The sequence below is a fragment of the Homo sapiens genome, chromosome 7 (assembly GCF_000001405.40).
Source record: "Homo sapiens chromosome 7, GRCh38.p14 Primary Assembly".
NCBI lineage: Eukaryota > Metazoa > Chordata > Mammalia > Primates > Hominidae > Homo > Homo sapiens.
The window spans coordinates 131,126,560-131,152,887 of record NC_000007.14 but is presented as its reverse complement, the minus strand read 5'-3'; the positions used below and the strand labels follow the sequence as shown (position 1 = coordinate 131,152,887).

The window sequence follows — 26,328 nt, the reverse complement described above, 5'->3', positions numbered from 1 at the left end:
AAATGAAATTAAAAGAGATTTAAGGGATTTAAATTAAAAGAGATTTAAGGGACATATCAACCAACTTCAGTGTATGAACCTTATTTGGATCTTGCTTCAACAAGCAAACTACAAAAGTAAGTTATACTTTGGGAGGCCGAGCAGGGTGGATCACGAGGTCAGGAGTTCGAGAGCACCCTGGCCAACATGGTGAAACCCTGTCTGTACTAAAAATATAAAAATTAGCCGAGCATGGTGGAGCGTGCCTGTAATCTCAGCTACTCGGGAGGCTAAGGCAGGAGAATCGCTTGACCCCAGGAGGTGGAGGTTGCAGTGAGCCAAGATCATGCCACTGCACTCCAGCCCGGGTGACAGAGCGAGACTCCGTCTCCAAAAAAAAAAAAAAAGAAAAAAAGAAACAACAACAACAACAAAAGTAAGTTATAAAATTTGTAAGACAATTTAAAATTCCAACACTGAATATTTCATACTACTAAAAAATTGTATTAGTTAATGTAGATATGATAATGGTTATGTTTTTTACAAGTCCTTATCTTTTAAAGATTCATATTGAAATATATACATTTTAGACAGGGTCTCAGTCTGTCACCCAGGCTGGAGTACAGTGGCACAATTGTAGCTCACTGCAGTCTTGAACTCCTGGGCTCAAATGATCCTCCCACCTTATTCTCCTGGTAGTTGGGATTATAGGCACTCACCACCACATACAGCTAATTTTTTAATTTTTTGTAGAGGCAAAGTCTTGCTATGTAGACCAGGCTGGGCTCAAACTAATGGCCTCAAGTGATCCTCCTGCCCCAGCCTCTGAAAGTGTTGGGATTATAGGAATGAGCCACCACACCCAGCCATATCAAAATTTATGGATGAAATAATATAATATCTGGAACTTGCTTCAAAATAAAATGAGATGGGGAGAGGAATGGGATATTGATGGGCTAGACATGAGGTCCAACTTGACATGGGGTCCTTTATGCTTTCTGTCTACTTTTCCTTATGTTTCACTTTTCTATAATAAACCATTAACATGCATTTATATATCGTGAATATTCTGGTGTGTGTATGAGTGTGCATGTGTGTGTTTGTATGCGTGCATAAATTTAAAACAAAATTTTAATGATGATATCTCTGAGTGATAGAATTATGGGTGACTTGGTGATTTTTATTTTCTTCTTTTTACTACTCTGTATTCTATATTTTTATACTGCACATGTATTGCCATTTCTGCAATTCAACTATAATTCACTTCTGATGCAGTGAATAAAATAACTTTGTCCAGTACTCTTTAAATATAATTGGGCAAGGCTAATTATTTAACATTCAATTACATCTAGTTTTGATTGGGTACAGATCATAGTTTATGAAAATATAGCTCTAAAGTAAGGTTTGAGGTTCGGAAATTCTGTCATTTGGTGTAATAGGATAATCTTAAATTTATAGCTTAGGAGTAAACAGTTCATTTTTTTTCTCCTTTTTACATAACACAAAAACAACAGATCCAGTTTGGCACAAAATTTCCCCTCCAAAGTCACCTTTGTGCTGAAATCCAGCACCTCAGGTTTCAGTCAAGTAATTTGCAGATGAGAAAAGGTTTCTTAGCAAAATTTTCTTATGGTTTTACTACAGTGTTAGTTCCCAGTAATTTGGCAGAGTCCTATTTTCACAGCTAAGTGAGTCAGAGGGAAGGCTGCTCCTTCCGATTTTCGGATATGCAGAGAGGACAGGCAGTTATCAAATCAAATCACTCTTTTTGTATCACTGAAATAAATGTAAGGCCATGACAGCAGATGCACTTAAAGAAAAATATAGTTAACGGATATTTGTAGTTTATTACTAGTTAATACAAGATACTGCATGTTTTATCATTCAATTATGAAAAAGTTATTCCTTTAAGGTCAATAAACATTTTTTAAACCACTTACAAAAACAAGTCTATTTTATAATTACATCACCATCTGAATGTTCTATTATCAGATAATTGTCCCTTCTTCATTTATTTTGAAAGACATTTTATTTATCTAATCTTCCTTCTTCTGCTTGTTCACGTTTTCTCCTAAATAAACCCTCGTCAGCTCCTGTTATGAAATCTATGAACAGATTATCATGGAAGCACTTTTTTGCTCTGAATGTAGACTTTAAAGAGAAATCATGGGTAGATTTAGTTATTCATTTGAAAGTGAAGCTTTGATTTAACAAATGGCTAGAAGCAGACAATTTTGATTTGGGTCCATCTGTCCATTTGAGTTTCCATGGATTATTATATACTGCACATAAACTCAATCTACACTTGCAATTATGTTCCAAGCTTTGTGCTAAGTATTTTCATATGCAATCCCAAGTGTTTAGTACAATGACTTTGTGAAATAGCTATTTTATTATTGTTTGTTTGTTTGTTTGTTTGTTTGAGACAGGGTCTTCATCTGTCACCCAAGCTGGAGTGCAGTGGTGCCATCATAGCTCACTGCAGTCTTGACCTCCTGGGCTCAGGGGATCCTTTCACTTCAGCCTCCTTAGTAGCTGGGACTACAGGTGCATACCACCATGCCCAGCTAATTTGTGTATTTTTTGTAGAGACAGGGTTTTGCCATGTTGCCTAGGCTTGAAATCATTATTTTAGAGAGAGATTAAGTTGCTTGCTCAAGGTCACGCAGTCATTGAGTTATTCCAGATTTTGTTGCCACTTTTAAGTTATGAACAATGGTGATTGAGAGCGTTTGTAACAGTCCTTGGTGCCTAGTACTGAGCCTTGTACTAGAAAGGATGTCAAATCAGTTCAAAGGATGATAGACATCTATCTAGTTGCGAAAACAAGTACAAGGCAACTATCAGAGCAAAGACGGGGCCAGCTGAGGTGGAGCATGCTCTCTCTCAGGCAGAAACCAACTTAAAGGAGAAGGAAGAGGGAAGTCTGTTCTTCACAGCAGCAAAGCAGCGCTAGCCTTCTGCCTTGATCTTTTAACAAACTTAGGAAGCTTCCAACATCTTCAAGCCTGGGAATACACAGTGTTTTAATTTGATGACCAGCAAACTAAAGGTCAACCTGAGAAAGTTGATTCTTGACATACTTCCAACAAGGGTCACTTGTTTCATCCCAATGGACTCAAAGTTAAGAATTAAAAACCTCAACTGTAGTAAATTACATGTTTGAAAAACTGAGAGTTCTAATTACATGTACATCCCAAATGCCAGTGGGGCCCACTCTATTCATGTACTCATAGCTTTATGAAAAACTGTTTGTTTGGAATGTGGTTTTTAAAAGTAATTTACCTTCAGGTTTAGTTGAAGAATGGAATATGTGTGAGAAAATAATTTTCCAACTTTTGTTGACTCAGCAATGAAAAGGAAAATATGTTTATATGAATATGGCTACTTGTTGATCTCAGACACTTGAAATTTCATTTGCTAAATGCTAAATCCAATGATAAATTTCAAACATAATTTCCAAAACATACCCTTGTTCTAATACTACAGAACCATCTCGATGGGCATCAAATTAACTATTCCTATAAGGTTACACTAGAGTTGCTACTAGGAACATTTCATTTGTGGAGACATAAAGACAGGTTACATGATACTTTGTAAGTGGACTTGAAGTAAAGGATATTAGAAATAAATAGGAACAACAAAAATAAAACATGACTAAACCAGCTCTCCTGCCACCATCAAAACAAACGTTTCCAAGGAACTGAAGCCAAGAAAATAGAAATCCACAAACACAAAGGCCAAGATAATCAGTTGAATCTACTAAATCTCCATAAATGGCAAAACAAAATGCCAAAAACCAAGCCATACCAAAACCCCACCTGCGTTGAATACCAAACAACACTGACCTTTTCTGCCCCACCGCCTGCCCCAGAAATCCGAGCCTGCGACTGATTTTAAAATGACCAAATCTCCAAAAATTCTGAGAGATGGCCATTTTAAAGACACAATATCTTCGATCATATAGGTCATGTCCACATTAATATAAGTAGTAATTATTAAAGAAGAAGGAAACTCCTTCATTCGTTTTAAAAACCAATTCTTTCTCAGATTCGCCACAGAGCCAGACCAACTTAATTGTTAAGGCACAATAATATTAGATTGAACTATTTTTCTTTTTCTTCTTTTTTCTTTGGAGACTGGGTCTCACCCTGTCACCCAAGCTGGAGTGTAGTTGCACAATCGTGGCTCACTGCAGCCTTGACCTCCTGGGGTTCAAGTGATTCTTCCACTTCAGCCTCCCAAGTAGCTGGGACTACAGCTGTGCACCACCACGCCTGGCTAATTCTAAATTTTTTTAGAGACAGGGTCTCGCTATGTTGCCCAGGCTGGTCTCAAACCCCTGGGCTCAAGTGATCCTCCCACCTTGACCTCCCAAAGTGTTGGGAGAACAGGCATGAGTCACCGTGTCCATCCCTGAATGGTTTTTCAATCCAATAATTTTTATTATGGAGAGAAAGCTGGGCAATTTAAACAATTATGTGCTTTATTTCTCCATTTCGGTATTCCATTCCTGTTAATATATAGGTATTGAATTTAACTTGTTTCATTCTTAATGTTTTATGTCTTGTCTTCTTTTTAGAAAAATTTAAACCAGCCAAAAGGCTGCAGGGTAAGTGTTGGTGGCTAGTTCCTATGAGTAACAAGTCATAGTCCATAGAGCCTAGGATGCTGGCCTGGAGAACAGGCCAAATTCTGCAGATGTGGTAGTTCATGCCTGTAATCCCAGCTCTTCGAGAAGCTGAGGCGGGAGGATGACTTGAGCCCAAGAGTTCCAGGTTACAGTGACCCATAATTATGCCACTGCACTCCAGCCAGGGCAACAGAGCGAAACTCTGTCTCAAAAACAAAACGAAAGAAAAAAATCTGACTGCCCTGAAAAAACCCTGAATACCTAAAACATAGAAAATCTAAAGCTTATGCCATAATGCTTGTCAGTGCTTAAGTTCATGCATGTTACAGACTTCACCATAGCCCTCCCACCACAGCACCATACCACAGATGCAGGAACTACACAAGCCTCCTTGTATCCACATGACCATTTCTTCTCATTTGGATGCAGTATCTGCTAATGAGCAGGGTCACTTGAAAGAGAACTGAACTTGGAATCAGAGTCCAAGTGTGTCAGTTCCAGCTCTTTGGGGAACCAGACAAGGCAATTTAGTGCAGTGGATCAGTGTCTGCCTGCTAAAGTCAGACTGTGTGGGTGGAAATCCTGGTTTTCCACTTTCTAGCTATGTGACTGTAGGCAAGTCTCTTAAATCTTGTGACTTGGTTTTCTTATTTATAAAATGGTGATGATGTCAATAACTACCTTAGAAGATTAAATGTCTTAAGATGGTTTAGAACAGAGTCGCAGATATTCTAAACACTCAATCAATGTGGGCAATTATTATTACTAGCTATATGACCCTGGGGAGCTCACCTAAGCTCTGTAAGACTCTATTTCATCTTCTGTACAAGAAGGGGTCACAATCTCACATGGTCTTTATGAAGACTGAATAAACTCAAGTAACATACATGTGGAAGCTATTTTTAAGACATCATCAACGGCTGGGGGCAGTGGCTCACACCTATAATCCCAGCCCTTTGGGAGGTCGAGGCGGGTGGATCACCTGAGGTCAGGAGTTCAAGACTAGCATGACATGGTGAAACCCTGTCTCTACTAAAAATACAAAAAAAAAAAAAAAATAGCTGGGTGTGGTGGCAGGCGCCTGTAATCCCAGCTACTTGGGAGGCTGAGGGAGAAGAATCGCTTGAACCCAGGAGATGAAGGTTGCTGAGACTGTGCCATTGCACTCCAGCCTGGGCAACAGAGGGAGACCCTATCTCAAAAAAAATTAATAATAATAAAAGTAAATAAATAAATAAAACATAATCAAATATCAGATGACTCCTTTAACCTAGCAGAATCATTTCCTTTCTGTTCTTTGCTTCCATCATACTTAAAAAACATACACGCAACTGCTATAGCATTTGTCACAAGGTACTGTAAGGATTTGCCCACCTGTCTTCTCCCCCACTGACAGCACATCCTCCAATTCACCTCTGCATCCTTCACACATTGGACATACCTGGTACAGGACCAGTATTCAATAAATATTTGTTTAAATGAATATTGTTCAAACAATTGCACAGGAATTCTCAAGGCCTTTGCCGGGAGTGACGGATTATCACTTTTGCTGAGGGTCCTCAGTAGACCACCCAGAAATGTGCTTTTCTTCAGGCACAATATATTGAGGTTCTGTCATTTCAGATCCCGCCAATGTTGTATTTGTTGCATTTGTTCATTCTTTTCACTTAATAAATAATTAGCAAGCACCTACTGTGTGCCAAGTCCTATGCTGGGCTCCATACAGTATACCCAAGTGGCAAATGGCCAGACTAATACAGTTCCTGCATATTACATATAGAGGGAATCTATGTACTATAGAATCATCCACCCTTTGAGATAAACTCCTCGGTTTGATTATTTCATTAGAGTGATAGGATCTCAAGGTGGGAAAGAACGGCTTTCTAGAAGTGAAAGTCCTTATACTTTACTTTTATTTTTATTTACTTATTTTAGAGACAATGTCTCGCTCTGATGCCCAAGCTGGAGTGCAGTGGCATGATCATAGCTCACTGCAGTCTTGAACTCCTGGATTCTAGTGATTCTCCTGCCTCAGCCTCCCCAGTATCTGGGACTATAAGCGTGTACCACCATGCCCACCTTAGGGTCCTCATAGAATAATAATTAAGGTTTGGGATCTGACTGCCTGGGTTCAAATCCTAGATCTGCTTTGTACCAAGGTGTAAGACCTTGGGCAAATTGCTTAATCCCTCTAAGCCTCACTTTCTCATCTGTAAAATGAGCTAGTGGGATTGATGTATTAGAAATGACAACCTCATTAATCACGTATTATGGTGTTTGCCATACAGTACACACTCACTATGTGTTTGCTATTATAAACAAATCTATTCTCCTCACTTCCTCACTCTAGTGTTTGAACTTCTGTCACAAATGTACCCAGTGAATGGGGCATGACTGCCCCACTTCCGGGCACCAGGGTCAGGGAATTTACTACCTCCAGTGGTTGTCCATTTGTCTGCTAGGCAAATCTAACAGTTGACCAATGTTAATGGGTTGAAATGTACGTGCTTACATCTCCACTCATTGGCCCTCAATCTGCCATTTGGGATTACCCAGAAGAGATCAAATCTCTCCTCTGCCGGATAGACCTCAAACTTTGAAAGGTAGCTACATATGCTAGTTATCACCATCCCCCTTACACACCTACATAAAACCTTGGATCTTTTTGTTATTTCTGAATAACTCTGTGCACCAGATTTCTTATTATCATTTTTATTTTTCCCATATAATCCTTTGTTGATCAATGTCTCTGAATGTCTGAAGCCCAGAATTCATAAAACACAATAAATGTGGTCTGATCATCAGTGAGTACTAGAGAACTAGTTCCCCTCTCGAACGTTACATTTCTATTAATACAACAAAAGATTGATTTTTTTTTAAAGCTACATCCCACTGTGTTGACTCATCTTCTTACAATCAACAGGAGACTGTAAATCTTCGTGCCGTGTGTAGCTGTAAGCCACCTCGCCCCCACTCAGTACCTGTACAATTCGAGGATCTTTGAGTACTTTATATTGGTACACATTAAACTCTATATTGTTTGATATGATTCATTATTACATTTTGTCAGGATTGGGGGTGGGGAGAGAATCTGATTGTATCCTCCAACCTATTTGTAATTCTTTCTAGTGTGTGTCATCTGTAAATTTGTTCGGCAGGCCATCAATGTTATTGTCTTAGTCATCGATATAAGTGTTCGGGGAAAAAGCAGATTTTCATTAGATCCCTGGAGATCCGAATATGCATCAGCCTCTTTGTTGTTGTTGTTGTTGTTGTTGTGGTTGTTGTTGCTGGTTGGGGGATGGAGTTTCAATCCTGTTGCCCAGGCTGGAGTGCAATGGTGCAATCTTGGCTCACTGCAACTTCTGCCTACCGGGTTCAAGCGATTCTCCTGCTTCAGCCTCCTGAGTAGCTGGGATTACAGGCGTGTGCCACCACGCCTGGCTAATTTTGTATTTTTAGTAGACACGGGGTTTCTCCACGTTGGTCAGGCTGGTCTTGAACTCCTGATCTCAGGTGATCCGCCCACCTCGCCCTCTCAAAGTGCTGAGATTACAGGTGTGAGCCACTGTACCCGGCCTGCATCAGCCTCTTTAAAAAGAAAAAAACAAACAAAACACAAGGGCCAGGTGTGGTGGCTCAAAAATGTACTTGTAACCCCAGCGCTTTGGGAGGTTGAGGCAGGAGGATTGCTTGAGGCCAGGAGTTCAAGACCAGCCTGGGTAACATAGCAAAACCTCATCTCTATTTTTAAAAGTATAAAAATTAAAAAGAAAAACTTTTTTTTTTTTTTTGAGACACAGTCCTGCTCTGTCACCCAGGCTGGAGTGCAGTGGCATGATCTTGGCTCACTGCAAGTTCCGCCTCCCAGGTTCATGCCATTCTCCTTCCTTGGCCTCCCGAGTAGCTGGGACTACAGGCGCCCACCACCACGCCCGGCTAATTTTTTGTATTTTTTTTTAGTAGAGACGGGGTTTCACAGGATGGTCTCGATCTCCTGACCTCATGATCCGCCCGCCTCAGCCTCCCAAAGTGCTGGGATTATAGGTGTGAGCCACTGAGCCCGGCCAAAAGAAAAACTTTTAAAATACATCATTCATTCAATCAAAAAATATTTACTGAGTGCCTTCTGTGTACCAGTTACTGTTCCAAGTGCTGAGCATCTAGTGCTGAACAAAAAAATTGCCTGCCCTCATAATGCTTACATTCTAGGAAAGGAGGTAGACAACAAACAAAGAAGTGTTATGAAAAACAAAATCAGTTATGGGGCTAGAGAAATTTGACAGTGGGGATGCAGTGGGGTTGACGATAGGCAGTATGGCTAAAACAGAGTTGTTTTTGGAGTATGGTTGAACTACACATGTCCTGCATTATTAAACTGGCCCAGAGTGGGCAGCAAGTCTTTCTGATTCTCAAAATCCACTTTTATTTTTATTTTTATTTTTTTTGAGATAAGGTCTTGCTCTGTTGCCTAGGCTAGAGTGCAGTGTTGTGATCATGGCTCACTGCAGCCTTGAACTCCTGGTCTCAAGTGATCCTCCTGCCTCAGCCTCCCAAGTAGCTGGGTCTATAGGCACATGCCACCTGTAGTCCTAGATAATTTTTAAATTTTTGTAGAGATGGGGTCTTGCTATGTTGCCCAGGCTGATCTTGGATTTCCAGCCTCAAGCAATCCTTCTGCCTTGGCCTTCCAAAACACTAGGATTACACGCATGAGCTACTGTGCCCAGCCAAAAATCCACTTTTCTCTATGTGAAGTCACTTTAGAAAATATCAATAGAGCAATGATGAAGAATTTTTTCTTTTTTTTGAGATGGAGTCTCGCACTGTCGCCTGGGCTGGCATGCAGTGGCACGATCTTGGCTCGCTGCAACTTCTGCCTCCTGGGTTCAAGCGATTCTCCTGCCTCAACCTCCCAAGTAGCGGAATTACAGGCACCTGCCACCATGCCCAGCAATTTTTTGTATTTTTAGTAGAGATGGGGTTTCACCATGTTAACCAGGCTGGTCTCGAACTCCTGACCTCGTGATTTGCCGGCCTCGGCCTCCCAAAGTGCTGGGATTACAGACATGAGCCACTGCGCCCAGCCAAAGAATTTAAATACTCATGAAACAGAGGAGAAAATGTGAAAGGATGGAATTCCTCAGAAGACTTCACAACATTTCTTTGTACACATAGCATATTCAAACATTGTGAAAACAACTAGACTAGTGAGGACTCCAGTCACATCTTCTGATGAAGACTCCAGAGAGAAGAATTTGAAAAGCATTACTATATAGGTACAGTACTTTTTTGACAACTAAAGAAAGAAAAAACTAAAACATCAACACTTACCGAATTCCAATCCCCATGTTTTCAAGCATGGAGCAGGTTATGAATCCAATAGTTTATGGAGTCAGGAGGATGGAATGTTTGGATGATCCCAAAACATGGTTTGAGAGTCTGGATATGGAACTCTGGAAAAGAAGCCCACAAGGGACAGATGTGAAGTCTACCTCTATTAATTGCCCTCTGCTTGCAATTCCTTTTTTGTTTTCTTTTGAGACATAGTCTTGCTCTGTTGCCCAGGCTGGAGTGCAGTGGGGCGATCTCAGCTCACTGCAAGCTCTGCTTCCCGGGTTCACGCCATTCTCCTGCCTCAGCCTCCCGAGTAGCTGGGACTACAGGCGCCCGCCTACACGCCCAGCTAATTTTTTGTATTTTTAGTAGAGACGAGGTTTCACCGTGTTAACCAGGATGATCTCGATCTCCTGACCTTGTGATCCGCCCGTCTCGGCCTCCCAAAGTGCTGGGATTACAGGCATGAGCCACCGCGACCGGCCTAATTTTTTTAAATTATTATTATCATTTTAATTTTTTTTTTTTGAAATGGAGTCTCGCTCTGTCACCCAGGCTGAAGTACAGTGGCGCGATCTTGGCTCACTGCAAGCTCCGCCTCCCAGATTCAAGCGATTCTCTTGCTTCAGCCCCCCGAGTAGCTGGAATTACAGGCACACACCACCACATCTGGCTAATGTGTTTCTTGTATTTTTAGTAGAGACAGGGTTTTGCCATTTTGGCCAGGCTGGTCTCAAACTCCTGACCTCAGGTGATCTGCCCACCTCGACCTCCCAGTGTTGGGATTACAGGCGTGAGCCACCGTGCCCTGCCTTTTTTTTGTTTTTGTAGAGAGAGACTTGCCATGTTGCCCAGGCTGGTCTCAAACTCCTGGGCTGCAGCAACCCTGCTGCCCTGGCCTCCCAAAGTGATGGGATTACTGTTGTGAGCCACCACACCCAGCCGGAAATTTAATTTATATTTTCACAATGATACCTTTGACATTCACATTCATTCATTTCTTGAGCATCTGTTTTTTGTACCAAATACTTTGTTGGTGTTAGGAATACAAAGGTGAATAGAAAAAATAAGGTCCCCGTAAGCACTTACAGGAACCTCACAGGACAGGGCACGGTAGAAACAGGAAAGTCAGCTGTGATAGAGAAGCGTGTTATGAAGAGATAAGTACTGAGAGCCCTAGGAGGTAACCTAACCCAGATTTAGGGAAAATTGGAAGTTAGTGACTTGTACACAGACACTTACAAGGTGTGAAGGAGTTAACCAAATAAAGAGGTGGGGAAGTCTGTTTTGGGTGGAGGGCACAACATACGTACATTTTGGAAAGAACATGAATGATTATGCATGCTGAGTATGTGAGTACTAAAAGTAGTTTAGAGAGTCTCAGAGTGGTCAGAGATGAGACTGGAAAGGTGAGCAGCACCAAATTATGGAGAAATGTACAAGCCACATTCTCGAGGAGGTAGAATCTACTGAAAGTCGTGATAGATTACATGTTGGAGTTTTGAAGAGGGCAAAGTCCGGACTGGAGATCAGGTTTTTGACTTAGACAACTTGGTGGATAGTGGATATCATTCACTAAGACAGCAAAAATATGAAGAGGAAATTGAGGAGATTTTGGAGAGAAGGTGCTGAGTTAAGCCTTTGACGTGTTTGTTTTGTGATGACTGGGGAACATTCAGAGCAACAGCAAGCAGTTTGATCTAGAAATCGGAGGATATCCATTTAGGAGTCATCTATACATGACAGACAACAAGAGACTTCACAGCGATGAATGAGATGCCCTGGGAGGGTGTGTAGGAGCAGAGAAAAAGAGAGAAGACAGAATAACACCAAAGCTTAAATAAAGGATGGTGTAGGCCAGGTACAGTGGCTCACACCTGTAATCCCAGCACTTTGGGAGGCCAAGGTGGGTGGATCACGAGATCAGGAGATGGAGACCATCCTGGCTAACACGGTGAAGCCCCATCTCTACTAAAAATACAGACAAAAAAATTAGCCAGGCATGGTGGCACGCGCCTATAGTCCCAGCTACTCGGGAGGCTGAGACAGAAGAATTGCTTGAACCTGGGAGGCGGAGATTGCAGTGAGCCAAGATCGTGCCACTGCCCTCCAGCCTGGGCGACAAAGCGAGACTCTGTCTCAGAAAACAAAACAAAAAAAAAAAGGATGGTGTGTTAGTTCATTCTGTGTTGCTTAAAAGGAATGCCTGAAGCTGGGTAATTTCTAAAGAAAAAAGGTTTATTTGGCTCACAGTTCTGCAGGCCGTATAAGAAGCATGGCAGTCATATCTGCTTCTGGCAAGATCTCAGGAAGCTTTTACTCACGGCAGAAGGTGAAGGGGACCAGGCATGTCACATGACATGGCCAGAGAGAGAGCACGAGTGAGAAGAGGAGGTGTTGCTCTTTTGAACATCAGTGTTCATGTGAACTAATAGAGCGAGAACTCACTCATCACAGCAAGAAAGGCACCAAGCCATTCATGAGGGATCCACCCCCATGATCCAAACACCTCCCACCAGGCCCCACCTCCAATGCTGGGGATGAAATTTCAACATGAGGTTTGGAGGACACAAATATCCAAGCTATATGACATGAGCAGAGAAAGGACCCCTGAAAAAAAGAGCGAGAAGGTGTAGCCAGTGAGGTAGGGAAAAAAGAATTGTGAGGTATCCAGAGAACAAGGGAAAAGCATGTTTCAAGGAGTAGGCTGTGGTCCACAAAGGCAAATGCTATCAAGAGATCGAGCAAGAAAAAGACTAAGAAGCACCCACAGGTGAGTACCATGGAGATATCTGACCAGTTTGGCAGAGAGCAGGGTCCGGGGAGGCAGCAGTCAGGTCAGAGTGAGTTGAAGAGTAAATGGAACCAATGGATGCAGACACCTGTTTCAAAAAGTTTGCCTTAAAAGTGGAAGACATAATCCCTAAATTTCCTTGCAAGGGCAAGGAAGGTGGGCCACCATTAGGCTCACCTCAGAGGATCTCTGAGGTCCCTTACCACCTGCGTGTCAGCTCAGCTGACCTCCTGCCAATGCTCTTGAAGGACATGGCCTGTCTGTTGAACAGTAGCCCAAAAACCAGTACTGGTCTTGGCCAAAACTGCAGAGCAAACCAAATTAGCCTTTTGTGTCCTCCTCCTAACTCTTCTTCTGTACCCACCCCTGTCCCTAGGCCTCTGAGGTCCACACAGACTTCCTGGTCCATGGCCCACTGTGAAGCATGAATGTGTACCTGAACTCTGAGCAGTCCACTGCTGAGATGACCTACAGAGGGATGAATCTGTTCTGACACAATTGTCACACTGTCACTATCTCTCACTTCTTGTCACAGCCCATGTATCAGGACCAGTCAGAGGGAGAAGAGAGGAGTGTAGTCACCTTGGAGTCTGGAACAAACAGCTGGCTCTGCAGCTGGCCAGGCAGCTATCCAAGCAGGGGGCCTCTCTAGGAGCAAAATCCAGAAGCCAAAATAAATGGGTCAGGTGGAAAGCAGATGACTATAACTGCAAGCAATGCTGAAGGTTGGCCCTGGGGAGCGAAGGTGAGTCAAGGCCTAATGGATGGACACCAGAAGGGGTTTGAATGAGAGGGGAGGGACGGGGGGAGTCCAAGAGCAGGGGCCAAAAATGGGTTAGAGCCAATAGACCACACAGAGGCCACAATGATGCTGTACGGATGGGTCCCTCACCACCGGCTCTCTGTTACCCTGAATCCTCCCAGGGTACTGTTTCAGACCTCAGACCTTCCCATGAAATTTCTGATATCCACAATTCCTCAAATATTATTTCCAAACACCCCTTCTCCTGCCATCCTATCCCTGTATTCCAGGAAGAAGATAGGAAAGCCCTGGGCCTGGTTGGGGGTGATAATGAGGTGCACATAGGCCTTAGTGGTAACTAACCTGAAACACTGCAGGAATAGGTCCCCCATCCTAAGAACCAGGAGTGGAAGCGAAGGCCTGGCACAGTTAATTTAGGCCCTAAATCAGTAAGAAAGCTAGCAGCATGACTTGATTCGTGGAAACATTATTTCTAAGTTGTAATCATTCCAGATGACTTAGGTTTTCCAAGACGCATACAATGACTGAACTGAAAGGCTTAACTGTCTTCAGTTTTTGATTATAGCACAGAGAGGAGATAAAGAACATTGGTAAACATCACATATAAATACACTATTTCTGCCTGTGCACAGATAGGCAAGGCTGTACAAACTGAGTTTTCAGCTGAAGAATTTTTTTTTTCATTTCACTCAAGTCAATAGTCACTTACCCGCTGAATATTGCTTAAAGCAGAGTTTTCATCTAATTCTCATTTAACGAGCTTGAAAAGGCAAAACTAAATAATAATACCTCATTTGTGTGTAATGCTTGTCTTTCAAAGAAGGCATCATAACCCATTTTAGACTATCTAATTTACAGTAACAACACTTTTACAATGTAAATACTAGTAAGGGCTATTATCATTTTACAAATTATGCATGAAAGAGACCAAGGCACCTGGAAATGAAATGCCTGGTTCAGTGTAACTTCCACTTCAGAGGTGTTACGGCTGGTTTATTTTTAAAATTTTTTATGAAAAATTTAAAAACCGTGAATAATGAAATGATGCTTCAAATAAACATATTTATTAAGGTGTACCTTGTGCTCCAATTTTAAAAGAAAAAATATTTTGCTTAAAAGAAATAACAAGGACCAAAATGTTCATGTGTTCTGGCCAGGCGCAGTGGCTCACACCTGTAATCCCAGCACTTTGGGAGGCAGAGGCAGAGGTGGGTAGATCACCCGAGGTTTGGAGTTTGAGACCAGCCTGACCAATATGGAGAAACCTTGTCTCTACTAAAAATACAAAATTAGCTGGGCGTGGTGGCACATGCCTTTAATCCCAGCTACTCATGAGATTGAGGCAGGAGAATCACTTGAACCCGGGAGGCGGAGGTTGCGGTGAGCCGAGATCACGCCATTGCACTCCAGCCTGGGCAAGAAGAGTGAAACTCTGTCAAAAAAAAAAAAAAAAAAAGTAAAGAAAGAAAGAAAAGACAAGACAAGGACCAAAATGTTCATGTGTTCTGGCCGGGTGCAGTGGCTCACACTTGTAATCCCAGCACTTTGGGAGGCCTAGGCAGGTGGATCACCTGAGGTCAGGAGTTCAAGACCAGCCTGGCCAACATGGTGAAACCCCATCTCTACTAAAAATACAAAAATCAGCCGGGTATGGTGGCGCATGCACGTAATCCCAGCTACTTGGGAGGCTGAGGCAGGAGAATTGCATGAACCCAGGAGGTGGAGGTTGCAGTGAGCCGAGATTGCGCCATTGCACTCTAGCCTCAGCAACAGAGCAAGACTCCATCTCAAAAAACAAAAACAAAACCAAAACACAACAAAAAAAGTTCATGTTCACAGATCACATCTCTCTCACAAATCTAGAATTAAACCAATCAATCCCTACTACCCAACTCTGATGTTCATCAGCATGATTCCACAATCTTGTGCCACACACAGTACAAGTCACAGGATGGATCACTCCCCTTTCCATACACATTACGTTGCAATAATCTTGTCTCAACCGGATGTGGAAAAAACCATTATAGGTACAAATTCTGCATATATGTAAAGTCATTGACACTCTTTTTCTTTTATTAGCTTCAATTTGGGGGGTAACATTTTTCTGATCTTTTTATATATTCATTCATCCACACTCTCCAGCCTTCATGCAACTATTCAATAAACACGATAATGTGCTCAAACTGTACAGGCGCTATTCTAGATGCACAGGATAGAAATAGGATCAAGGGCCAAGTGTGATGGCTCGCACCTGTAACCCCTGCATTTTGGAAGGCCGAGGTGGGTGGATTACTTAAGCCCAGGAGTTCAAGACCAGCCTGGGCAACACAGGGAGACCCCGTAGCTGGGTGTGGTGGCATGCAAAAAAATAACCTAGGAACCCCAGAATTAAGACAAAGTCACAGGCTTCAAGAAACTCACAGTCCAATGGGAAAGCCAGAAGAGAAAACCACTGAAGTTCACTGTGGTAGGTGTGGCGATTGAACTACACGCAAATGTGGTTTGGGGCTCTGTCTTTGTATGAGTGGGTGAGGAAGGCCTCCTGCAGAAGGTCCTCCCAGAGCTAAGCATGCCAGGACGAAGGGCATTTGGGTGTTCCAGGGAACAGCGTGGGCAAAGACACCAACAAATAAGAGCAGACAATGCATTTGGAGAACGGCAGGACATGTGGTGCAACGGGAGTTGTTCAGTTACTTTATGGCTGGTTCTGTTTCACAGTCTGGGCCCTGGACATCCCCAAAAATGCTTCTATGAAGGGAAATGTATTGTCCTCAGTCATGTAAGTAAAAACACATTCTATATGGAATCGGTACCAAAGTGCCTTTTGAAGCTTTGACCATTTGAGGAAAATGACACAGGGAACAACACAAAATCAAAGTCTGGGTCTGGTCTACCCAGGTTTGTATTCTTCATACTTCATTACTGTTGTACTCCAGTGGGGAACTGCTATAAACAGCCTGCTTATTCATCAAATCTAGGCGACCACTTGGTCCATCTCCATTATTATTTCAATATAACATTTTTATAGAGAAACATTTTGAAGTACAGCATTTTCAAATACACTATGTTGGATGGATCAGGTTTTCCACATTCACCTCTTCCTGACCAGGCAGACTTGGTGCTGCTCACTCCCCAAAAAGGGCGGAAGTCAGCCTGAAAGGCTTATTCTCAGGAACCCCACATGCCTGCAAGAGGTGTTTGAAAATAATCTCTCAAAATCCTACACCCAAGTCCCTGCAGGGACAGCTCGTCCCTGAGGCCCCCCTCTGAGAAGTCTTGCATGAAGGCCTTCATGAACTGAGGCCAGGAGGAGATAAAATTGCAAGCACAACAGAACTCATAAACAGCCCTCCCTAGACTCACCCTACTGCCTGAGTAATCCCACCTGAATTCCCTTGTCACTTACGCAAAGCTTTGCACCCTGAAATCACATCATTGTTTCTACTCAGGAGTTTTTCAGAGACTCAGAATAACTCATTTATCTATTTTGGTTCATGATCTATCATGGGATCCTCTCGAAGACATTATTTCTTCATTTATCCGACTTTTACCCGTTCAACAAGCATCTACTTCATCATTTCTGCCTATCTCTTGAAGCCAATCCAGTCAGCCTTTTGCCCCTATTACTCCACTGAAAACACACCGATGAAGCTCGCAATGACCTCCATGACATCAAATCCAAATTCACAGTCTTCATCTTACTCCTCTCAGCAGACTCTTGGCACAATGTTCACCCCTTCTGATAAAACACTTTCTACCCTTATCTTCCATCACACCTCACTAGGTTGCCTCCTACCTCATTGTTCCCTCGCAGTCTCTTTGGCTGGGCCCTTCCCAATGTCTGAATATTGGCAGCCCCATTGGGCTTGTCCCTCTGCAATTGTCAATCCAGTCCATTGCCTTAAATACCATATTTCTCACTCTGATGCGTCCCTAAACTCCTGACGCGGAAGTGGAAGAGAGGCCAGACGCAGTGGCTCATGCCTGTAATCCCAGCACTTTGGGAGGAGGAGGGCAGATCACCTGAGGTCAGGAGTTTGAGACCAGCCTGGCCAGCATGGTGAAACCCCGTCTCTACTAAAAATACAAAAATTAGCCGGGCGTGGTGGTGGGCGCCTGTAGTCCCAGCTACTCGGGAGGCTGAGGCGGAAGAATCACTTGAACCTGGGAGACGCAGGTAGCAATGAGCCGAGATCGCTCTGCTGCACTCCAGCCTGGGCGACAGAGCAAGATGCTATCTCAAAACAAACAAAAAACAAGAAACAGGAAGTGGATTCTTTTCCTAGAACCACTGAAGGAGGAGATGAGTTGGCAAGGAGAGAAGAGTGGCTTTTTTGTAAGAGGAATAGGATGAAAACAGGCACAAAGGTGTGGAGAGGGAAAACTGTTCCAAGAAAAGAGAGAAGTCTGATGTGGGCTAGAAATCAATGCTAAGGTATGTTGTGGTTATATTGCGAGGAACCTTGATTACAGCTAGGGAATCTGGACTTGATACTGAAGACAGTAACTATCAGCATTTCTTAAAGAGTGGAAAGATGTGCTCATTCATATTTTAAAAAATTAAAAACTTTAGTGGCAGGATGAAGACTGAGCCAGCAAAGCCAATTAGAAGACTACTGTAATAGTCTAAAGAAGGGATTAAGGTCTGAGTCACCATAGCAGCAGTGGGGTGAAGGGTAGTAACAAGTCCAAGGGGGATTTAAAAGTAGCACTGAAGACACAGTTATCAATTAGATAGAGGTTTGGGAGTAGGAGAGACGGGCCGAGGTTGAAGTGCAATGACACTGACGAAGCTAAAGGCAGGAAGGAGAGCAAGTGCAGAGGGGATGCTGAACAGGATATGAAGCTCACAGTAATTGTGGGATATCCAGTGCAAATGAATGACAGGTCTGCAGATCAGGAGAGAGGTCTGGACTGAATGCATAGGTTCAGGAGTCCGGGCCCATCAGTGGCTCAGTCCTCGTAATAAATAGGATATCTTGGGGGCAGACAAACAATGAAAAGGACCAAGCGAAGAACACTGAAAAAAAGCCTGAGGCAGCTGTCAGTGGAGAAGGACCCTGGCAATAGACTGGAAAGGAGAAAAGATGGGGCATGAGAGTGGGACAGAGGGAGGTCTGCAAGGAAAGAGACATGAGACCTTCCCAGAGAAAATGATCAACAGCTTTCTCTGGGGTCAGACCAGGTATAAGATAAGGCTTAGTAATTAGAAGACCTGATGAGCACAGTTTCTAGAGAATTAGAAGTCAGCTGGCCGGGCGCGTTGGCTCATGCCTGTAATCCCAGCACTTTGGGAGGCCGAGGCAGGTGGATCAACTGAGGTCAGGAGTTCAAGACCAGACTGGCCAACATGGTGAAACCCCGTCTCCACTAAAAATACAAAACTTAGCCGGGCTTGGTGGCAGGCGCCTGTAATCCCAGCTGCTCGGGAGGCTGAGGCAGGAGAATCGCTTGAACCTGGGAGGCAGAGGTTGCAGTGAGCCGAGATTGCACCATTGTGCTCCAGCCTGGGCGACAAGAGCAAAACTTCGTCTCAAAAAAAAAAAAAAAAAAAAAAAAAACCAAATTAAAAAAAAAAAAAAAGAAGTCAACCTGGGCCGGGTGTAGTGGCTTATGCCTATAATCCCAGCAGTTTGGAAGGCTGAGGCAAGAGGATCACTGGAGCCCAGGGTTTGAGACTAGCCTGGTCAACATAGTGAGACCCCATCTATAAAAAAAATTAAAAATAGAGGCTGGGCGCGGTGGCTCACGCCTATAATCCCAGCACTTTGGGAGGCCGAGGCGGGCGGATCACGAGGTCAGGAGATTGAGACCATCCTGACTAACATGGTGAAACCCCATCTCTACTAAAAATACAAAAAGTAGCCGGGCATGGTGGCATGTGCCTGTAATCCCAGCTACTCAGGAGGCTGAGGCAGGAGAATGGCTTGAACCTGGGAGCGGAGGTTGCAGTAAGCCGAGATCACGCCACTGCACTCCAGCCTGGGAGACATAGTGAGACTCCATCTCAAAAAAAAAAAAAAAAAAAGAAAGAAAGAAAGAAAAAAAAAATTAAAATTAAAATAAAAAATAAAAAAGAAGTCAGCCTGGAGTGGCTTGAGTGAAGACTCGTCTTTGAAGTTGCCAGGAGGGAAGCAGGTAAGGCTGGAAAGAAGGTGGAATTGGGCAAGGAGTAGGAATTATTTTATGGAATGGGAGTCCTGAGTACAAGTGGCCATCTAGCTTCTGCTCAAAATCTCTAGTGAGCCTGCTACCCCACAAGACAGCTGGTTGGGCTTTTGTACAGCAACACATCAATTCCATTCAATATATATTTGTTGAGTGCCTGTGATGTCTAAAGCATCGGGCTTGGTACTTCAGGGCCTAAAAATATATGCAAGGCACAGTCATGCTCTGGTTTTTCTTTCTTTCTTTCTTTCTTTCTTTCTTTCTTTTTTTTTTTTTTTTTTTTTTTTTGAGACAGAGTCTCACTCTGTCACCCAGGCTGGAGTGCAGTGGCTTGATCTCGGTCCACTGCAACCTCCGCCTCCCAGGTTTAAGCGATTCTCCTGCCTCAGCCTCATGAGTAACTGGGATTACAGGCGCTGCCACCACGCCCGGCTAATTTTTGTATTTTTGGTAGAGATGGGGTTTCACCATGTTGGCCAGGCCAGGCCGGTCTTGATCTCCTGACCTTGTGATCCACCGGCCTCGGCCTCCCAAAGTGCTGGATTACAGGTGTGAGCCACCGCGCCCGGCCTTTGGTTTTTCATTTATTGGCCCAAATCTACCTCCTTCCAAACATAGCTTTGTCCTCTGGAGCCACACAAGTATAAGAAGACTTTTTTCCATACGACAGCCCTCCAGCTAACTGAGAATGGTTTCCAGCCACCTCTGGGGCTTTCCCAATCATTTCACCTCTGTGAAATAATCCAGTCGTTATGTATGGATATATGTATGTATGTATATGTGTCTTTTGTTACCAGTTGGCTGCTCTCCTCTGGATAACCATACCCTAGTCTGTCAAAGTCCCTTTTAAAATGTGGCACTCAGAATTAATCACAATTCTCTCCATCTGGTATAAGCAGTTAGAAACCAGTAGGCACATTCTTTCCCTTTTCCAGGACACAGTGCTTCTGTGAATGCCACCTGAGATTGTACGAGTGTTCTCACAGCCACACTGCTGACTCATGGTGTTTTATGATCAACTCAAATCTTGAGATCTTTTGCACTTGAAATGTTGATATACTATGTCTTCCAAATCTAACATTTACACAATTGACTTTTAAAAGCCAATTGCAAGATTTTACACTTTTTCCCACTATTATGTATTTTTACATTGGCTTTTCATGAGCCAGTAGTAAAAAGTGGAAAGGTTTAGGAGTCAGACAGATCTGTATTCGAATTCTGGTTTTATTACATAGCCCTGTAACCTAGAACATGTCATGTGATCTCTGAGTCTCAACCTGCTTATCAGTGAAAATAGGGCTAATACTACCTGCACTGCGAAGTGGTCCTGAGTCTGAAACCAGGGCAGTATAATACCTGATGTAAGTTCTCAATAAATGTTGGTTTTCTTGCCTTCCTTTTCTTTGATTCTCTCAACTTTGATTCCTTAGCAGAAGTATGCCTTTTAAGTCATTCCTCAAGATTAATACATCTTTCTTTTAATAAAAAAATTTGAGCATAACAGGAGCCAATAACCAAAAGAAGATACTTTAGTATAATAGTTAAGCATATGGCTTCTGAAACCAGACTTTCTGTGACCGAATCTGAGCTCTTCTAATCACTAGCTATCTGGTGATTACAAGCAAGTTCATAAACCATCCTGAGCCTTGGTTTGCTCATCTGTAAAATGGGGATAACAATACCTGTTTCTCCAGCTGCTGGGGAAGATTAACTGAGATGATGAATGAAAAGCGTTTTTGCATAGAACCTTGCACATAAGTACTTGGGAAGTGGTGTTATTATTACCGCTTAGAAAACTCCAGGTAAGCAATGTCCTATTAATCTGCACTTTTTAATTTGAGACACAGTCTTGCTTTATCGCCCAGGCTGGATGCAGTTGCATGATCATAGCTCACTGCAGCCTTGAACTCCTGGGCTCAAGTGATACTCCCTCCTCAGCCTCCCGAGTAGCTGGCAATACAGGTGCACACCACCAGGCTCAGCTAAATTTTATTTATTTATTTATTTATTTATTTATTTAAGTAGAGGTGAGGTCTCACTATATTTCCCAGACTGGTTTCAAACTCTTGAGCTCAAGCGATCCTCCCACCTTGGCTTCCCAAAGTCCTGAGATTACAGGTGTGAGCCACCACACCCAACCTTTTTTTTTTTTTTTTTTTTTTGAGACAGGGTCTCCCTCTGTTGCCCAGGCTGGAGTGCAATGGCATGATTATAGCTCACTGCAGCTTCAACTTCCTGGAATCAAGCAATCCTCCCACCTCAGCCTCCCAAGTAGCTGGGAGGCTACTTGCATGCCACCATACCCAGCTAATTTTTGTATTGTTTGTAGTGACAGGTCTTACTATGTTGTCCAGGCTGGTCTTAGGACTCCTGGACTCAAGCAATCCACTTGCCTCAGTCTATCTCAAAGTGCTTGGATTTTAGGCATGAGCCATCTCATCCAATCCACATTTGTGTGTGTAATCATTTTATCTACTAATAATACATTAGTAATAAATGTAATAATAAAACATTTCATCTACTAATAATACTGAATAATACTGTTCCATGGTCCATTATATTATTCACCAGCATCCCTTGAAAACCTGTGTCCAATGACAGGTATGACAAATATGTCTGTCATCTTCTTACGTATTAACATTATCGACAGAAAAAACTAAACCAGCTAGAGGATCTTGGGCAAATCACTTGACATTTATGACCTCAGGCTCCACTTCTGTGAAATGGGGGTAATGGTAGTAATATCTACCTTAGAGGTCTGGCATGAGGATTACGTGACTTAAAGCACATGGTAGATAAGGAAATGAGAGTGGTTTGGAAGTACTTAAGTGAACCCAGGTTGGCTCTCGTTGATACCAACTTTCTTTCCCTAACCAAACTAAGCTTATCAGGCTGTAGGTTCTGGAATCCACCATTTTCCCTTTTAAAAATTGGCATAGTTGCCCAACCCTAGGCATATGGTATTTGTTCTATCCTCAGCAATTCCTCATAGCATGTCTATAATCATACCTGGAAGTTCCTTTTGTATCCCTAGATACAGTTTGTATGGATCAGAAGATTTGAAGCTCATTGAAATTTGAATCTCATCTAAATTTAAATTTTGTCTAATTTAAATGTATCCTTTCATCATTCACCTTGGCTCCCATTTCATCTTAAATTTCTTCTTTATCCAGACTATAAGAACACACATGTCTATCGAAGTGAACTTAACTATAGAAATCACACCCATAAAATAAAATCAATTATAAATCCACTACCACAATATTGCCACTGTTAATATTTTTCTGTGGTCAGTCTTTCTTTTTTTCTGAGAAAATATACTTAAAAATAAATGACCTAGCTGGGCATGGTGGCTCACACCTGTAATCTCAGCACTTTGGGAGGCCGAGGCAGGATGATCCCTTGAGGCTGGGAGTTCAAGACCAATCTGGACAACATAGCAAGACCTCGTCTCTAAAAAAAGTTTTAAAAAATTCACAGGGTATGGTGGCACATTCTTGTAGTCCCAGCTAATTCAGAGGCTGAGTCAGGAGGATCACTTGAGCCCAGGAGGTCAAGGCTGCAGTGAGCTATGATCAGGCCACTGCACTCCAGCCTGGGTGACAGAGAGAGACCCTGTCTTTAAATAATAAATAATAAATGACCAACTTTTTCTGATGTCATGATATCTTCCATAACCTGCTTTTTATTGGATACATAGATTTCATCATGGGAATACACAAAATTTATGCAATAATTCTTTTTGGACATTTGTTATCTCTAAGTATTTAATATTATAAAGAATGCTACACTAAATATTCTTCTACATTAAATTTTCTTAGTACCTGTAGTTATTTTCTTAGGATGAAGTCTTAAAGGTGAAATTGCTGTGTTAAATAAGTGGTTTGTGTATGTTAAGGTTTTTAACACACAATACCAAATTGCTCTCAGAAGGTTTATACCAATTTATATTCCCAATGTGGTATGAGAGTGCTTATTTCCCTGACTCTTTATCCATGTAAGATATCATTTTAAAGTTCTTACAATTTGCTAGGCACAAAGACATCTGGGTTTTACTTTGATTTGCATTTTCATTAATTAATAATGAAACTGGACCATTTTCATTTTCATTGACCAGTTGAATTCCTTTTTTTCCTTTTTGCCTTTTGTTGTTCTTTACCCGTTCTTCTTTTGAGATCTTGTCTTTTTCTTGTAAGTGTATGAGTTGTTTGCATGTTAAAGACACTACCGCTTGTCATATACATAAAGTCCTAGAATCTCTAGCTTGGGCAACAGAGCAAGATCCTGTCTCTACCAAAAAAAAAAAAAAAAAAAAAATAGGTGAGGTGGCACACACGTGTGGTCCTAGCTACTCCGGAGGCTGAAGGGGAAGGATCACCTGAGTCCAGGAGTTCGAGACCAGGCTGGGCAACATAGGGACGCCCCATCTCTAAAAAAAAATATTATCCAGACATGGTGGCACACACCTGTTGTCCTAGCTACCTGGAAGGATTGCTTGAGCCCAGGAGTTCAAGGTTACAGCGAGCTATGAATGTGCAACTGCATTCCAGCCTAGGCAACAGAACAAGACCCTATGAAAAAAAATCTAGAATTTCTCATGTATCTTTTAATTTTGTTTGTGCTACTGCCTTATCTACATAAGCTAAAAGTTCTAAGCAATGAAATATATCAATGTTTTCCTTTCTTTCTTCTTCTTTTTTAGAGACAAAGTCTTGCTATGTTGCCCAGGCTGGATTCAAACTCCTGGACTCAAGTGATTCTCCTGCTTCAGCCTCTCAAGTACAATGCTTTTCTTTTATAAACCATAAACCATTGCTTTTTTGCTCATGAAGGCCTTTACCACTCCAAGGTCAAAAAATGCTTACACTACTTTCAGCTTTTCAGCACATATCACCCCTATTATATGGGTCACTTTTCACATTTAATTCTTTAATCCATCTGAAATGCATTCCATTCTTCCTGGCCACATGTTTTTCCATTTTTTGTTTGTTGTTTTTTTTTTTTTTTTGAATCAGAGGCGATACTTCGGTCCCTTCTCTTTATGTTCAAGCTGCATATGGACCACTTGGACACATCACAGTGTCTAGGGGCCTGCTCATATATGGTTGGAACAATTTCCTCCACAGCCAACTGATCTATAGGTTTTCTAAATTCCTTCTTCAACATGAGTTCCACAGACCTAGTAGAAACAGACCACAGCTCCAACTCTCCCCTGAATTTATTCTGGTAATGTTTCTGGCTTTTGGCTCCCTTTTTCCCTGGTTACTTATTCGGACCATTCCTTGTCATTTTTTAAATAAGCAAACAAAAACAAATATACTCAGCATCTTGCTTATACCAGTTCACAATGTCTTTTCCTGATCTGTGATCCCAAACCCACATCCTGATCTAAATACCTTCCCAGAGGAGACTTCTATGTGGTTAATCGAAGCCACATAGTTGGAACCTGGAGCACCAGGGCTTTAAGTCAATCATTTAATTGATTCAGAAGAGGTAGGACACAGTGGTAGACACATACTATGCTCCAGGCACAGTTCAAAATGTCCTGCCCAGGGCAAGCCATTCCCATCTGACTGCATGTTAGACACTGTTCTGAGTATCTTCACAGCAGTTCTTTTATTCCTTCTTGCATCTTGGCCATGCCTGATCTTTTCAACACATATCCCCTGTCTCCATTCCATCCTCTTCTGTGACACACATGTTCAGTGACGTGGCTTCTGTGGGCCGGCAATGGGCTCTCTCTACCCCTTCTCAGAGGTTTTGATCAGTTTTTCCTTCTTGTCCTGTCTCTAATATTTGCTGCACTCCTGTTCTTCAGTCGTACTCGCCCACTCTCCTCTGTGTGCTCCATGAGATAATATGCCTCTGCGTGTGGCCTCCAAACTCCTTTCTGACTCTTTCCCACCTGTTAGTGGTCACTGGCTACACTGCCACTTCCAAGATCCCAAGTAGACCCTTCATCTGCTGAGTGTGGTTGATACCAGCAGAACTAAGTGAAAAACAATTCCATTTTCTTCTATTCTTTTCTTTCTTTTTTTTTTTTTTTTTGAGATGGAGTTTTGCTCTTGTCACCCAGGTTAGAGTGCAATGGCATGATCTCGGCTCACCGCAGCCTCCGCCTCCCAGGCTCAAGCAATTCTCCTGCCTCAGCCTCCCGAGTAGCTGGGATTACAGGCATGCACCACCACACATGGCTAATTTTGTATTTTTAGTAGAGACGGAGTTTTTCCATGTTGGTCAGGCTGGTCTCAAACTACCAACCTTAGGTGAACTGCCCACCTCAGCCTCCCAAAGTGCTGAGATTACAGGCGTAAGCCACCACACCCGGCCATATTTCTTCTATTCTAAGATCAACATATGGGCCGGATGCGATGGCTCATGCCTGTAATCCCAGCACTTTGGGAGGCCAAGGCAGGAGGATCACCTGAGGTCAGGAGTTCAAGACCAGCCTGGCCAACAGGGTGAAACCCCATCTCTACTAAAAATGCAAAATTTAGCCAGGCACAGTGGCACGCACCTGTAACTCCAGCTACTTGGGAGGCTGAGGCAGGAGAATTGCTTGAACCCGGGAGGCAGAGGTTGCAGTGAGCCAAGATCGCACCACTGCACTCCAGCCTGGGTGACAAGAGTGAAACTCCATCAGGAAAAAAAAAT

The 26,328-nt window shown here is 42.6% G+C and overlaps 1 protein-coding gene across 2 annotated transcripts in view; it reads right to left on the bottom strand.

Moving 5' to 3' along the window:
- Positions 1-26,328, bottom strand: part of MKLN1 (muskelin 1) — a 386,539-nt gene that overhangs the window by 343,745 nt on the left and 16,466 nt on the right. For both annotated transcript variants that reach the window (NM_001145354.2, XM_047420401.1), the window contains exon 2: positions 9,947-10,068. In NM_001145354.2, the coding sequence (NP_001138826.1) occupies positions 9,947-9,975 (29 nt within the window). In that variant the 5' untranslated portion in view covers positions 9,976-10,068. The remainder of the gene's footprint in view (positions 1-9,946; positions 10,069-26,328) is intronic.